The sequence below is a fragment of the Homo sapiens genome, chromosome 1, assembly GCF_000001405.40.
Source record: "Homo sapiens chromosome 1, GRCh38.p14 Primary Assembly".
NCBI lineage: Eukaryota > Metazoa > Chordata > Mammalia > Primates > Hominidae > Homo > Homo sapiens.
In genome coordinates, this window is record NC_000001.11 from 207,289,464 (window position 1) to 207,306,154 (window position 16,691).

At 39.1% G+C, this 16,691-nt stretch overlaps 2 long non-coding RNA genes across 3 annotated transcripts in view; one reads left to right on the forward strand and one right to left on the reverse strand.

Moving 5' to 3' along the window:
* LOC107985251 (uncharacterized) overlaps nt 1–16,691 on the reverse strand; it is a 195,120-nt gene that overhangs the window by 162,454 nt on the left and 15,975 nt on the right. The gene's annotated exons all lie outside the window — the stretch shown is intronic.
* LINC02942 (long intergenic non-protein coding RNA 2942) overlaps nt 1–16,691 on the forward strand; it is a 74,070-nt gene that overhangs the window by 49,352 nt on the left and 8,027 nt on the right. The window contains exon 3 of the long non-coding RNA NR_186170.1: nt 12,307–12,444. This is a non-coding gene — a long non-coding RNA (long intergenic non-protein coding RNA 2942). The remainder of the gene's footprint in view (nt 1–12,306; nt 12,445–16,691) is intronic.

Consider the following 16,691-nt stretch of genomic DNA (forward strand, 5'->3'; position numbering starts at 1 on the left):
CACCTTTCCCTCTAGAAAACTGAAGTGCAGAGGGACAAGACATAAAAAGGGGAAATCCAAGTTCACATGATGGCTAAACTAGCAAGAAGCTCACATATTTTGTCTTCCAGATCAGTTCTTTTTCCACTAAATATTTGTTTCTGTGTTTCTTTCAAGGCCAAGACCTTCTTTCCTCATTAAGTCATGAAAACCTGTTAATGCAGGAAATACATGCATGCAAGCATTTGATGTAGTTTATTTCTCCCTAAGTCATTCATATATTTCTATGCTGTAGTAAAACAGTGTTGCCTCTGATAGTTCATCCTTAAGAAAGAGAAAAACAGAAGTCCAAGTATGTTGGCTGGAACTCTGCTACAGTAAGTTGGCTCTCTACATGTGGGGAACAACCTCACAGTCTGTGAGCACATACCCCTGAATGTGACTTAGGCAAAGCTGGTTATTGGATGGAAATCAGCATTTAGAAGGCTTTTGTTTTGCTTATCTACATAGCTTCAATGAGGAAGGAGGAAATGAGACTATAAGTACCATGACCATATAATTTATTATCCATACTAGAACACTTTAAGAATGAAAAAGAGGACTCTTAATAATTATGCAAAGAAAACTGGTGCAAACTGGGACCACCCAGGTAAATTGGGACATATGATTATGCTATCTATAACTAAAACACCTTTACAGATTTACACATTAATGTTCAAGGTTTCCCTTTTCTTTGCCTTTATTCTAGATCATTTTTTATAGAAGATGTTCTGTAAATAGTTGATGTTCAAAGAGTCATCTAGAAAGCAGGAGAGCCACTTCACCTTCTCTCATCCCTAGAAAACTGGGTCTTAACATATAATTACAACATTTGTAAATCCTGGCCAACTGCACAATCAATTTTCTTGAGCCTATGTAACTACCTCACAATTTTCTTGAGCTTACATAACTCCCTGACACCTGGATCAGCACTGTCCATTAGAACGCTGCAATGATGGAATGTCATATATGTGCTCTGTCCTACATAGTAGTCACTAGCCACATGAGTCATTGAGAAATGGAAACATGGCCAGAGCAACTGAGAAACTATATTTTAAATTTTGCTTAATTTTTCTTAATTTAAAAATAAATTTAAATAGCTACATGTGGTTAGCAACTAACATAGTAAACATCTCTAGATCACTGGAAGTAAAAAGAGGCACCAGTTGATATGGCTTGGCTGTGTCCCCACCCAAATCTCATCTTGAATTCCCCTGTGTTATGTGAGGGACCCAGTAGGAGGTAATTGAATCATGGGGGTAGGTCTTTCCCATGCTGTTCTCAGGATAGTGAATAAGTCTCCTGAGATCTGATGGTTTTAAAAAGGGGAGTTTCCTTGCACAAGCTTTCTTCTCTTGTCTGCTGCTATGTGAGATGTCCCTTTCACCTTCTGCCATGATTGTGAGGCCTCCCCAGCCACATGGAACTGTAAGTCCATTAAACCTCTTTCTCTTGTAAATTGCCAGGTCTCAGGTATGTCTTTACCAGCGGTGTGAAAACAGACTAATACAGTAAATTGGTACTGGTAGAGTGGGGTGCTGCTGTAGATACTCAAAAATGTGGAAGCAACTTTGGAACTGGGTAACAGGCGGAGGTTGGAATAGTTTGGAGGGCTTAGAAGAAGACAGGAAAATGTGGGAAAGTTTGGAACTTCCTAGAGACTCGTTGAATGACTTTGCCTGCCCCAAATGCTGATAGTGATATGGACAATAAAGTCCAGGCTAAGGTGGTCCCAAACAGAAATGAGGAACTTGTTGGGAACTGGAGCAAAGGTGACTCTTGTTATGTTTTAGCAAAGAGACTGGCAGCATTTTGCCCCTGCACGAGAGATTTGTGGAACTTTGAACTTGAGAGAGATGATTTAGGGTATCTGGCAGCAGAAATTTCAAAGCAGCAAAACATTCAAGAGGCGAGTTGGGTACTGCTAAAGGCATTCAGTTTTAAAAGGGAAACAGAGCATAAAAGTTTGGAAAACTTGCAGCCTGACAATGTGATAGAAAAGAAAATCCCATTTCTAAGAAGAAATCTAAGCAGGCTGCAGAAATTTGCATAAGTAATGAGGAGCTGAATGTTAATCCCCAAGACAATGGGGAAAATGTCTCTAAGGCATGTCAGAGGTCTTCACAGCAGCCCATTCCATTACAGGCCTGGTGGTCTAGGAGGAAAAAGTGGTTTCGTGGGCTGGGCCCAGGGTCCCTGTGCTGTAGGCCCCCTAGGGACTTGATGCCCTGTGTCCGAGTCACTCCAGCCATGGCTGAAAGGGGCCAACACAGAGCTCAGGCCATGGCTTCAGAGTGTGCAAGCCTCAAGCCTTGGCAGCTTCCATGTGGTGTTGAGCCTGCCAGTGCATAGAAGTCAAGAATTGGGGGTTCCCAAAGGAACCTCTGCCTGATTTTCAGAGGATGTATGGAAGTGCCTGGATGTCCAGGCAGAAGTTTGCTGCAGGGGTGGGGCTCTCATGGAGAACCTCTGCTAGGGCAGTGTCGAAGGGAAATGTGGGGTCAGAGCCCCCACACAGAGTTCCTACTGGAGCACCACCTATGGAGCTGTGAGAAGAGGGCCACAGTCTGCTAGACCCCAGAATGGTAGATCCACCGACAGCTTGTATTGAGAGCCTGGAAAAGCTGCAGACATTCAATACCAGCCCATGAAAGCAGCCAGGAGGGAGGTTGTACCCTGCAAAGCCACAGAGGCAGAGCTGTCCAAGACCATGGGAACCCACCTCTTACATCAGCATGACCTGGATGAGGGACATGGAGTCAAAGGAGATCATTTTGGAGCTTTGAGATTTGAATGCCCCACTGGATTTCAGACTTGTGTGGGGCCTGTAGCCCCTTTGTTTTGGCCAGTTTCTCCCATTTGGAATGGCTGTATTTAACCAATGCTTGTACCCCCATTATATCTAGGAAGTAACTAACTTGCTTTTGATTTTACAGGCTTATAGGTGGAAGGTACTTGCCTTATCTCAGATGAGACTGAACTGTGGACTTTTGAGTTAATGCTGAAATGAGTTAAGACACTGGGGGACTGTCGGGAAGACATGATTGGTTTTGAAATGTGAGGACATGAGATTTGGGAGGGGCTGGGGTGGAATGATGTGGTTTGGCTATGACCCCACCCAAATCTCATCTTGAATTCCCACGTGTGGTGGGAGGGACCCAGTGGGGGGTAATTGAATCATGGGGGCAGGTCTTTCCTGTGCTGTTCTTGGGATAATGATAAGTCTCATGAGAACTGATGGTTTTAAAATGGGGAGTTTCCCTGCATAAGTTCTCTTCTCTTGTCTGCCACCATGTGAGACATGCCTTTCACCTTCTGTCATGATTGTGAGGCCTCCCCAGCCACGTGGAACTGTAAGTCCATTAAACCTCTTTTGTAAATTGCCCAGTCTCAGGTATGTCTTTATCAGCAGCATGAAAATGGACTAATACACCAGTGAATGTCACTAAGATAAAACCAGAAAAGCTTTCATTTACTTTTTGTCCCATTTAGATGTACACAGAGCTGGGATCCTAGTAGGCCAAGGTCTCAGCCTTTACCTTTGTTTGACTCCACCTCAAGGATCAATTTCATCTCTATTAAATATAGAGAAAGGAAAGAACATAAAATATATATCAAATCAACACCATTTGATTCAAGCAGAACATTGATATGTTAATCCATTTTACTTGAAACACCATAGTAAGTATTTATACTAGTGGGAACAGTAATGAACATAATCACAGGACTTCATTCCATGGTGTACAATGCATTAAAGAAATCCACAGCCTGGCCAACATGGCAAAACTCCATCTCTACTAAAAATACAAAAATAAGGCAGGCATAGTGGTACACACTTGTATTCCCAGCTACTCAGGAGGCTTAGGCAGGAGGATCACTTGAAAACCCAGGAAGCAGAGGTTGCAGTAAGCTGAGATCATGCCACTGTGCACAAGCATGGGTGACAGAGTGAGACTCTGTCTCAAAAAAAAAAAAAATTCAAAATTTCTAAAGAAAGTCCTACTTCTGCCAGAGCCTTCAATAAAGGGATATTAAGGCCCCAAAGCTCTATCTTCAGCATTTTGTATTCCTCTTAATACAAAAAGCATAAGGCCCAAAGCAACTGATATCGGATCTCCTTATCAAATGTTTCCTTTGTTCTGCCCTCTCATTAAACTATTTGTAACTCCTCTATGGCTCTTATTACTTTCCGTTTTGTATTAGCTGTGTAACTAATACAAAAGAGCAAAAAGTGGACACTGTGGTAGACAGGTATAATTTTACTTCTCCTACTGAAGAGTAAGTACTATAAGGACAAATACAGTTCATATACCTGTACTATATTTTCTACAACGCCAGGCACAGTTCTTTACACACAGTAGATGCTCAGGAAATGTTTGCTTGTTTATTTGGAAACATTTTGTATTAGTACCTCACATTGTGTTAAGAATTAAGTTTCTGGAACCTGAAATGAGATAAAATATAAATTCTTAGGCAACAATGTAAATTCTTATGCAGATAGAGTAACTGAATATAAATTTGAGGGTGTGGTAAGACTGATTTTTTTTTTCTCTTAGGATTGCAAGCTGATATAATTATATTGGAAAGCAATATAGAAATTTGTATCAAAAGGCTTGGCTGTAATAATTTTGTATTTGAGACTCCATTCCAATTATTTTTAGACTATTATATTGAGGTTATGAATTGACATACAAAAAGTTGTACATATTTAACATATACAACTTGATGAGTTTGGAGAGAAGGATATACCTGTGGAGTCATCACCATAATCAATTTCATAAACATATTCATCATCTCCAAAAGTTTCCTCCTACCCTCTTTATCATTATTACTTGTACGTGTGTGATAAGATCACTCAACATAAGATCTACCCTATTAGCAAGTTTTTAAGTATGCAATACAGTATTGTTAACTATAGGCACTATGCTGTACCACAAATATCTAGAGTTTATCTTGTATATTTATCCTGTACTTACATTTCCACCAACCAGAGTACCTGAAACTTTGTACCCTTGACTAATATACTTCCCCATGACCCCCAGCCCTTGGCAATTATCCTTCTACCCTATGCCTCTATGAGTTTGACTATTTTAGATTTCTCATATGAGTGGTACCATGCAGTATTTGTCCTTTTGTGTCTGGCTTATTTCAATTAGCATAATGTTCTCCAGGTTCATCTATGTTGATGAAAATGACAACATTTCCTTCTTTTTAAAGGCAGAATAATATTCCATTGTTTGTATATGCCACATTTTATTTATCCATTCATCAGTCAATGGACATTTAGGTTGCTTTCATGTCTTGGCTCTTGTGAATAATGCTGAAATGAATGTGGCAGTGCAGATATCCTTTCAATATCTTGATTTTAATTCCTTTGGATATATATTCAGATGTGAGCTTGTTGGATCATCGGTAGTTCTACTTTGAATTTTTAAAGAAACCTCCATACTGTTTTCCACAGTGGCCATTCCAATTTACATTCCCACCAACAGTGTACAAGGGATTCCTTTTCTCCACATCCTTGCCAACACTTACTATCTTTTGGTTTTGTTTTAAAAATAGCCATCCTAATAGGAATAAAGTGATATCTCATTGTGGTTTTGATTTTTGGTTCCCTGATGATCAGTAATGTAGAGCACCTTTTCATGTACCTGTTAGCTATTTGTGTGTTTTCTTTGGAAAAATGTCTATTCAGTTCCTTTGTCCATTTTTAAATTGGGTTCTGTTTTTGCTATTAAGTTATAGGAGTTCCTTATGCATTGTGGATATTAACCATCTATCAGATATATAGTTTGCAAATATTTTCTTCCAATCCATCCATAGGCTGCATTTTCATTTTGTTGTTTCTTTTGTTGTGCACAAACTTTTTCATTTGGTGTAGTCCTACTCGTTTATCTTTGCTTTTATTGCCTGTTCCTTTGGTATCAAGTCCAAGTAATCATTGCTAAGACAAATTTCATGAAGCTTTTTCCCCAATGTTTTCTTTTTCTTTTTCCCCAATGTTTTTAAAGTTTCGAGTCTTGTATTTAAGTCTTCAATTCATTTTGAGTTAATTTTTGTGTATGATGTATCCACCAATGAAATAATTTAAATACTAGGAAATATATATACAGGATGTTCATCTCTGCCTTGTTTATAGTAGTGAAAAACTGGAAACAACTTAAACATCCAACAAGAATGATTAATAAATCACTGACCAGCTAGAAATAGACTATTATACAACTATTTTAGAAGAGGTTTTATTTGTTTAAGAATGTTCACAATATTAAGTAAAAAAAAAAAAACGAGAGAAAAAAGTTGGGAGGAAATACAGCAGGATACTGAGTGGTCACTTTTGATGGTACAATTAGGATTGATTTTCTCCCTCAGCTTTTCTCTTTATATTTTTCAAATTTACTTACTGTCAATAATACGAAACCCACATTAGTATGTAATACGTGATTTTGACACTAATTGATTCCTCTATTTAGAGGTAATTCTAACTAGCAGAGACTTAGGACAAAAATCAAACTTTTAGACAGCTAAGCACACCTAGATTAAAGCATGTTTTTTCTTTTCTTTTTTTTTTTTTTTGAGATGGAGTCTCGCTCTGTCGCCCAGGCTGGAGGGCAGCGACGCGATCTCGGCTCACTGCAAGCTCCGCCTCCCGGGTTCGCGCCTCTCTCCTGCCTCAGCCTCCCGAGTAGCTGGGACTACAGGCGCCAGCCACCACGCCCGGCTACTTTTTTGTATTTTTAGTAGAGACAGGGTTTCACCGTGTTAGCCAGAATGGTCTCGATCTCCTGACCTCGTGATCTGCCTGCCTTGGCTTCCCAAAGTGCTGGGATTACAGGCGTGAGCCACGGCGCCCGGCTGTTTTTCTTTTTGGTAGAGGGCATGAGAGGTAGCTGGCTTGCCACATGCCGATCCAACATCCTGATTTTTCATCAAGAGGCTGAATAGCCAAGATTTTTGTGGCTAGATGAATGAGAATTGGTCAGAGGTGAGTTCCAAACAAAATTATTAAAAATATTCACACAAAAATGTATCTTAATGTTTGTACGATTAATTTTTAAATTGATTTTGTAAAAGCATATATTAGCTCTCTTAGGAAAACTATAGTCAATGCAATAGGATTTATTTATAGCCTATAAATATGGCTATATTCATATCATTATGTGAAACATACTCCAGCATAAGTCATATATCTTCATACCTCTCTATGACAAAACTTCGATTGCTTTTCTGTCCACCAGATTTAAAAAGTGGTCAGTATTTGTGTAGGACATAGGTGAAAAGAAAAAGAAAGTAGCAAGTGGAGAAAGGGAAGTTTGGGAAAGTCCAGATGTAGGTGATGTTGTAGCTCTCTGACAGTCTATTTGGGAGTCAGAATCGGTGTGAGTGCCAAGTTCACTACGCATAGCTTTGCACATAGTAGACAAGTGATAAGTATTAAATGAATCAAAAGCATAGGGGGTTCATAGTTCACCTACTCAGAATATATTCTTTAGAGTTTTTGTTCAGATGGATTCTACCTTTTCTAAAAAGGGGCAATTGAAAGAGTAACAACTAAAAAGGAACTAAATATTGTAGAAAAATCTGAGAAAGGGATAAACACAGTCTTTTCCTGGAGGATTTGCCATTTAAAGCCACAGCTGTTTTTAATGCCAAGTATCCTTGGTGGCCAGTGCCTAGTGAAAGTGTAGAAACTACAGAGAGCAGGATTCAAGTGCTCCCTGAGGGCATGGCTTGTAGCTTTCCCTTCATTATGGAATCAAGCCTGGAGAGCCAGTCTCTTGTTTGAGCTCATTGGTACTGCTCGCCAGAGAGGGACAGAAGAGATAAGAGGATCTGAAGAATATAAAATGGAAGATACGTGGATGGTGATAAAATTTAAGGGATTTAGTGATTTACAAATTCATGCCTTATTTGGATATGAAGAAAAAAGCTAGAGAACATAGTTTAGGCCAGTAACTAGGCTAAAGAAAGGAGTAGAATATAAGGTTGAATGAAATTTCCTGTGCAGTGCCCAGGGACTACGAGATATATAATAATTTTCCAGTTCTCTCACAGTTGGTTTTAATATTATCAAAAGGCTCACTCTTTCTTTGCTTTCTCCTGAGTTTTCCTGCACTCATCTCCTAGGTCCCTCGGGGAAATGCAATGGTTATTATAGTTATGCCTAACATTTCAAAATCATTTTAACTTAATCAAGCATGTTTGCATGGAAAAGTAAAGGCTGTGGTGCCAGAGAAATTTGAGTCTGGTCCCTACTCCACTACTTTCCAATTGTGTGTTCTTGGGCAGCTCCTCAACCTCTCTGGCCCTCAGCTTCCTTAGGTGGATCAATGCTATCAACTTCTAAGGATTGTTATACACAGTAGCCTAGTACTTGGTGTATAGTAACAACATAGTCAAGTTCAGTTGTTACCAAATGCTCTACAGATGTTATGTTTTGGGCTCTTTATTTTCAACTTAATATAGGTTCTTGCCTTCAAAATCAAGGTGAGACCAAAAGGTATGCAAATGCAGTGTAGCAAACAAGCCTAGACAATTAAAAAACAAAACAAAAAACCTGAAACAGTAAGACTAACATTGAATAGCAAAGCAATTTAGTGAAGAAAGAGGTTATGAGAGTGAGACACTCTCAAACCTCCTCTTTCTTTTTATGTTAAGTTCTGGGATACATGTGCAGGATGTGCTGGTTTGTTACATAGGTAAACGTGTGCCATGGTGGTTTGCTGCACCTATCAACCCATCCCCTAGGTATTAAGCCCAGCATGCATCAGCTCTTTTTCCTGATGCTCTCTCCCCATTGCCGCTCCTGCCCCCAAGCACCAGTGTGTGTTATTCCCCTCCCTGTGTCCATGTATTCTCATTGTTCAGCTCCCACTTATAAGTGAGAACATGCAGTCAAACTTCCTGTTTCATTTGGACCTCTCTACAATTCTGTGATAGAGGCAGGGGAAGTGATCAACGCATTCAACAAACTGGAAAAAGCAAAGCACAGATGGGTTTCAGCTCCATTACAGCTGCTATAAAATGAAATCATAGGATTAAGAAAATTTTAAAGTTTCTTTTAAGGCTGTAATTCTATTATTCTTTGGCTTTCCTAAAGTAAGCCTACTAGTTAATGTGAGATCTGGTACCAGAACTCGCATTTCTTGATTCTCAGCTCAGGACTTTGTGCTAGACTGGGAAGTGTTGGGGACATAAGAGAACCTCGTTTCAAAGAAAAATGAAAATCGCAGCTGGGCAGAAATGCCTTCCTTCCTTTTCTATTGGCAGCATTTTAATACAAGCTTAAAATGTCAATAGAACAGCTTTGGCAATGTTTGCTGAAACATACTCATGCCTGAATAATGATTTCCATCTTCACACATTAGTACTTTCGTTCTTCAAACTGTACCCAGTTCCTGCATACTTACTGCTGCTTGATCAGTTGAAACTCTTCCATACTTAAGCCTTTCCTCATGCCAGAAAAACCACAGCTTTCCACCTCTTAGACTTACTTCATTTCTTTTGAGTTGTTTACTCCATTATTACAAAAAGCCAATCATGCTTTGCAAGATAAATATTTACTCTCAGAGTTCCACTCTTCTTTCAGAAGACAAAATAGACACCTTAGAAGGAGAGCAAATAATGCATGTAGAATACTAACAATGGAAGCCACATATTTCTATTTGTGGGCACATAAGTGCATATATGCCTCTGGTGTGCTTTGTGGTTGACTTCTTTAGACTCCAATTTGATCTGAAGTCCAAAGTAGCCTCAGCTCTCTGAAGACACTGGGGCCTTATTTTGTTTGAAGAGACAATGCCATGGCAATGTGGTGCTTGCCTGGTTACAAGGACTTCCACAGAGGCCACATATTCCTGGCAAGATGTTAGCGGGTGCTGAATTTGAAATAACTATAGCATCTCTACAATTTGATCCTGCATGCTTTTATTCTATGAATCTGGTTATATATAGTAAATCCCTATTATGTGAATAAGAGGGAACTATACTTGACTAACTGTTTAGAATGCTAGATAAATTACATTTGCAATAACAGGTCGCTTTTATATGTGCCCAGTCATCTTTTTAACTCATTTCCTGCAGCTTGCTGCCCATGCTCATTTAATTTTACATAAACATGCTCTTTGAGGCTGAAGCAAATCTGACTGATTTTCAATATAAAAATAAAATATAGAAACTGTTCTTGAAGTTATTTCTAAATAGAACTTGTCTCTAATCCTAATGCAACAGAAATGTATATGATGTTATAAGGATTAGAGACAAGAGTATTCTCAGGGCAAATGGGAAATGGGTTAAAAATCTACAACTTCATTATATTTATTAGATTATAAGAACCTTGATGTGTGGAACTTGATCTTATTGCTCTCATCTGGCACCTGGCCTAGAAATTGGTACAGAAGACCTACTACATTGATATGTGATTCACACAGGTGTTGAGAGTACTATGACATACAATAGCAGATTCTGTACTGTGGAAATACTAGAGGCCTCCAAGGTAGTGCTCGGGATTCAGGTTCCTTTACTTACCACTTTGCAACCTGACCAAGTCATTAATTTCCTCCTATCTAAAGTTGTGATATAATAACATCCTCAAAGTGTTACTGTGAAGAATTATTGTGAGGTTAAATGAAATTATGCATGGATGTGCCTAGCACAGTACTTGACACATAATAGGTGCTCAATATGTTAAATCTAAACTTATTGAATTAAAAAGAACATACTGAAGAATGGGCATGAGAAGTTTCATGAGGATGAAAGTGCAATTGAAAGAAGTAAAGGAGAATGGGATTTTGTAGTCTGCATGAAGGAGACCGGCAGTATCTCAGAGGTAAATGAAGACTGAAAGAAAAAAGAAGAGGGCAACCTTGAGTCCCAGTAAGGGGTTGCAGGAATTTTACGGAGTCTAGGAGTTTTCATGCTTGGTTAAACTATTTTCTGTAGGACAAATTAATAGACTAATACTTATGAAAGTATATGGATGCTATTTTGATTAATAAGCAGAATACATTTAAAAGTACTATATTTCTGAATCTGTGTTAGCTTTTTATCATTATATATTTTTTAATCAAAGGGCACTAAAAAGTAAACCTACTATTTATACAAGGATCCAGGTTTTGATGTTCAAAATGAGTTGTAATACTGGGTTGGAAACCGCTAGTTTAGACTGATAGCAATTGAGGGACTGACTATAAAACCCAGTATAAGACCTGTCATGCTGGCCCAGGAAAATCCTTGGATCAAGTTATGAGAGTCAGTGTGCTTCCCAATAAATCCAATAACAATTTTATAACAACATGCACAAATTCTGTGAACTTTACATATTTATATAGGAAATTCAAAAATTCTCCCATACCAGCAATGTGAAAACGGTGTCACATCATTATTATAACACATAGCAAACACACACAGAGCCACATGTGGAACTGAGACCAAAAATAGTTTTTAAGACAGAGAAAAAATGGAAACTTCAGGCAAACTGTGGTCTAAGAGTGAAGTAATTAGAAAATAGAGATGTTGAAAAGCCCAGAATTCTGAAAAAAATAATCTCTCTTTAAAGCAGATGATTCTCTGTGCCTCTGTCTTATACAGACATAGCTCAGCTAGTTCCTCTGAGCTAAAAGGTTGTTTGTTTATTTTGCACAGGTTCTAGCAGATCACAGTGGGAGTTTCTGGTCTTGCAGTTAGAGCAGACATTTGGGAGCCAAAAGCTATGGGCTCTATTATCATGTATAATGCTGTTACTGACACCCTTTTCTCCATTCCCTTAGTTTATCCATTAGTTAGATATGGAAAAGAATTGCTGCCTCTCAAAATGTTAAGCTTCTTTAATGAAGATGTGTTTGTATGCTACCAGGGAGGGAGTAGTGCTCATAAATTATAGGGGAATGTTAACATTAATTTGTTGCCTGTTGTTCAACTATATATTAATTTACTATTAAGTGTAGGGTTGGGGGTAAATGTCAGGAATATAGCACTCTGCAAGGATGATTGATAGGTGGCAGAGTCCACAATTATTCTGCTAGTCATAGGTGGTCCAAGAACTTCAGGGCCAAGAATAAATGGACATTTGTAGGAGGTTCACTTGAACTCCAAAGGAACTAGATGGGAGGCTAAGGAAAAGGAGATGAAGTCAAGGACTGGCTGCATTTGCCATAAGAAAACACAAAACATACTCAATACGTAACTTAGGCAAAGTCAGCATTGAGACTGTCTTCATTATGCCTTCTTTCTTCGTTGCCTCAAATGCTTATTGAAATCTTACTATCTCTCAATCTTTGTGCTGGATTTTAGATTACAAGACTGAATAAGATAGACATGACCTCCTTCCTCCTGGACCTGACAATTGTTCCTTCAAATCACTTCCACACATGCATTGCCTGGGGACTGGGGACTGGGGTCTGGATCCCATGGCCAGACCAAACCCCAAAGGTGGGTACTGGAGTATCCTTAAATTGGGACAGATATTCACACTGCAAAGGTTTGAAGAAGCAGGAGCTCTTGAAAGGTAGGACTGATCTGTAGCTCTGTAGGACAACGGACCAATGCTATTAAATGGGATCTGACCATGAGGGTACCTCTTGAGAATAAGTTGACTTTTTTCTTATTTTCTCTTGGACTATGGTTACCAGTATATTTAGCCAAGTGTTTTTGTTATTGTTTTTATTTTATTTGCATTTTTAATTTCCCTCATATAATAGAGTATCTACCACCAACTCTTCAGAAAAATCTAATACATCAGGATAGCTTTACCTGATACCATTGCAAGGAATAACTGTATGAAGTTTAAAAAAAAAGTGTGGCCTGCCTTACATCCACCCCTCTGCTGAAACCCAGGCGGGACTTTGAAGAGGCTGTACCCAGGTATTCAGGGAGGCAGCCAGCAGTAAGGGAGGCTTTTCCTTGATGGAGTTTGGAAAGAAGAGGAGACTCAGGCAATGCATGAAAAACAACTTCCAGAAGCCTGAGAGGCAAAACCTTCCTTCTCCTAAAAGTCTAGGGAAATTAAGCTTTTAAGAGCATGTTTGTAGGAAGGCTGATGCTCGCCTTACATCTGCTAATTAGAAGGGGAAATCTATGGAGGCTCAGTGAAAGGTGTATTGAGAGGAAGGGTGGAAACTTGAGAAAAGCGAAAAAAGTGTGAAATAGGTGAGGGGGAGGATGGGACAGAGGGTTGATGAAGAAACATATACTGTGTTCAAAGTTCAGTTAAGATGGTGTAGTGTCCATTTGGTTGTCTTATTTTCTCCAGCAGATCATCTGAAGATTTAGAAATGGGCAACAGTAGGGTTCATCTACCTCTGGCATTTTGCCAGGCACATACAACAGAAAAATGAGATAGGAAAGATAAGGGCATTGAAAAGAAGGAGGAAGTGATGGGCCATAGAATGTCAATCTGGAGAGGAAGAAATGAAGACAGACAGGAACTGAGAGGAAGATACAAAGTAAAGAATCTATGAGTTGGAAGATCTCAATGAGGACAAAGAATGATAGGTTGAGAGTCATTTGATTAAAGTTTATGCAGAGAGACTGATGTTTGAAAAAATGTTTTTGGAGTTGGAGCAATTCCAGACAATGACATCTTCCAGGGTGTGTCTATGGGAATGACTGGCTGACATGGAGGAGGTCCATGGAAGTTAGTAAGTCAAGGCAGTAAGTGACCAGAGTATCAAATAAGGATATGATGTCATCCTGAAAATGGGTGGATGTTGGACAGACAGGAAGACTCTGAGGGTGTTGAAGTTTTTATAAATCAAAAGCAGGGTTGAAGAGAGGTCAGTACCTAACAGCAAGCAGAAGGTGTTGAACAGTAGCATTGCTCAATGGAACAATTTCCACAGAAGCTGGGAAACTTTATACGAGAGGGAAGATAAGAAATAATCTGAAACTGACAGAGTGGAAAAAGCATAGTTTTCATTTACTAATAGAAACCACAGAACTGGTCAGGCTGGATATCGGGGGAAATTCAGCCAGATATCGGGCAAAATTCACCCCCGATATTTCACGTAGGTTCTTTTCTATATTCCCTAAATGTCGGCCGGCCTGAGAAATAAAGGGAAAGAGTACAAAAGAGAAATTTTAAAGCTGGGTGTCTAGGGGAGACATCACATGTTGGCAGGTTCCGTGATGCCCACTGAGCCGCAAAACCAGCAAGTTTTTATTAGTGATTTTCAAAAGGGGAGGGAGTGTACGAATAGGGTGTGGGTCACAGAGATCACGTGCTTCACAAGGTAATAGAATATCACAAGGCAAATGGAGGCAGGGCAAGATCACAGGACCACACGACCAGGGTGAAATTAAAATTGCTAATGAAGTTTCGGGCATGCATTATCATTGATAACATCTTATCAGGAGACAGGGTTTGAGAGCAGACAGCCGGTCTGACCAAAATTTATTAGGCGGGAATTTCCTCGTCCTAATAAGCCTGGGAGCGCTATGGGAGACTGGGGCTTATTACATCCCTACAGCTCGACCATAGAAGACGGCCGCCCACCGAAGCGGCCATTTTAGAGGCCTACCCTCAGGGACGCATTCTCTTTCTCAGGGATGTTCCTTGCTGAGAAAAAGAATTCAGCAGTATTTCTCCCATTTGCTTTTGAAAGACGAGAAATATGGCTCTGTTCCACCTGGCTCACTGGCTGTCAGAGTTTAAGGTTATCTCTCTTGTTCCCCGAACATTGCTGTTATCCTGCTCTTTTTTCAGGGTGCCCAGATTTCATATTGTTCAAACACACATGCTCTACAATTTGTGCAGTTAACGCAATCATCACAGGGTCCTGAGGTGACATACATCCTCCTCAGTTTACGAGATAACAGGATTAAGAGATTAAAGTAAAGACAGGCATAGGAAATCACAAGGGTATTGATTAGGGAAGTGATAAGTGTCCATGAAATCTTCACAATTTATGTTCAGAGATTGCAGTAAAGACAAGCGTATGAAATTATAAAAGTATTAATTTGGGGAACTAATAAATGTCCATGAAATCTTCACAATTTATGTTCTTCTGCCATGGCTTCAGCTGATCCCTCCATTCGGGGTTCCTGACTTCCCGCAATAGCTGGATTGGTATTTTTTAACCATTTCTTTTACTTTAAATGGAATTTAAATATAATTTAAATTTTAAATGGAAAATGAACTATAATCTGGTAAATGGCATGCAGTTTGTTACCTTGCTTGCATATTTTGTCTTATTTTCTGCCCTTTGAGTTTATGTTAGTCTTAGGCTCTACATCATTCTTCTCTATGCCTGATAGAATGGTTTGTTTGTACCGCCCTGCAATATATTTAATATTATGATGGGACATATTATGTACCATGCCCAGATCCTATGACTCACAATTAATAGGAAAGATTAAGAGACATTACTCATTCATTTATAGCTAAGTGACGTGTTATTTTATTGTTTTATTTATTTTATTATAAGCCCATAAGATGATGGCTGTTACGTACATAACACCTAGACCAAGATTGCTAATCAAAGGAAAGGGAACTAAACTAAATCTCTGTTCTTGGCAGCGTCACTCATTGTCCATTCATTCATATGTTTATTGACTCTATCTTATATGTCATGCACTGTATTAGTTGAGCGGTAATATGACTCATTCCTAAGCTTTGTCCTTGAGAGGCCATGGTCTAGTGGCAAAAACAATTACAGATATTTGTTAAATGTTATAATAGAATATTGTTCAAGGTGTGTGGGAAGGTTACGGAAGACTTCCTGAAGCTGATAATAGTTAATCTCCATCCTGAAGTAAAATGAGTTAGGCAGGTATATAAATAAATCACATCTTAGGTAAAGGGCAAAGCAGCTGAGGTGGAAAGGCTGGAGCCTAGGCAAGCAATGCACATCACGTTCTGGAAGCAGCATGCAGACTGCCAGTTTGCACCCTCCACACATCATATCTGCTTATCCTGAAATTACACTGGACTTTGTGGATCCTTCGCAGCAGAAAAGGCTTCACTAAGAAACACTGAAACATATTCAGATTTCAGCTGCTAAATTAAAACTACTGACATTTCTCAAAGAATCTGGTTTGTCCATTAAGTGCAAGCTGATATCATCACAGAAATTTTTTATCTTGGGAGCACCTTTTGGAAACTTAGACTCCAGTTACGTATTTGAAATAGCGAAAACCTTTGTCAAACAGCCCTTCAATCCGATGCAAAACCATTAGTGCTTTGTGCGCACATTGGGCAACTGTGATCCTTCAGGATTGGCTGCTCTCGAGAAAGAAAACTCCCTATGGGCCACCACACCCCCTACTTTATCCATGGGGAAGCAGCGGTATCAAATGGCCAATGGTCCTAGTTCCTGGCACAAAGTAGAAGCATGATAAACATTAGTGATTAAACATATTAAACATGGAAAACATAAAATTAGTGATTAAAAATTAGTCTAAATCCATGTCTTACCAGGTGGATTGTTATCTCCAGCAAACCCTGGGCCTTGAATTCACTTTTTGTCAAGGAATTTTATTAAGAAACATGAGTCATATCTGAATATTTTTAAAAATATAAATTACAAGTTAATTGGCTTTGCAAAAGACATATGTTGATGTACTTTGTTGCATTTTAGGTAGCATTTTGGTTAAGAAGAGCCCCCTCTTTAAGCCATTTAAGAGGGAAAAGCTGATTCACAGTTTGCCTTATTTGCTAGGTATTTCTATTCCAGGGGCAA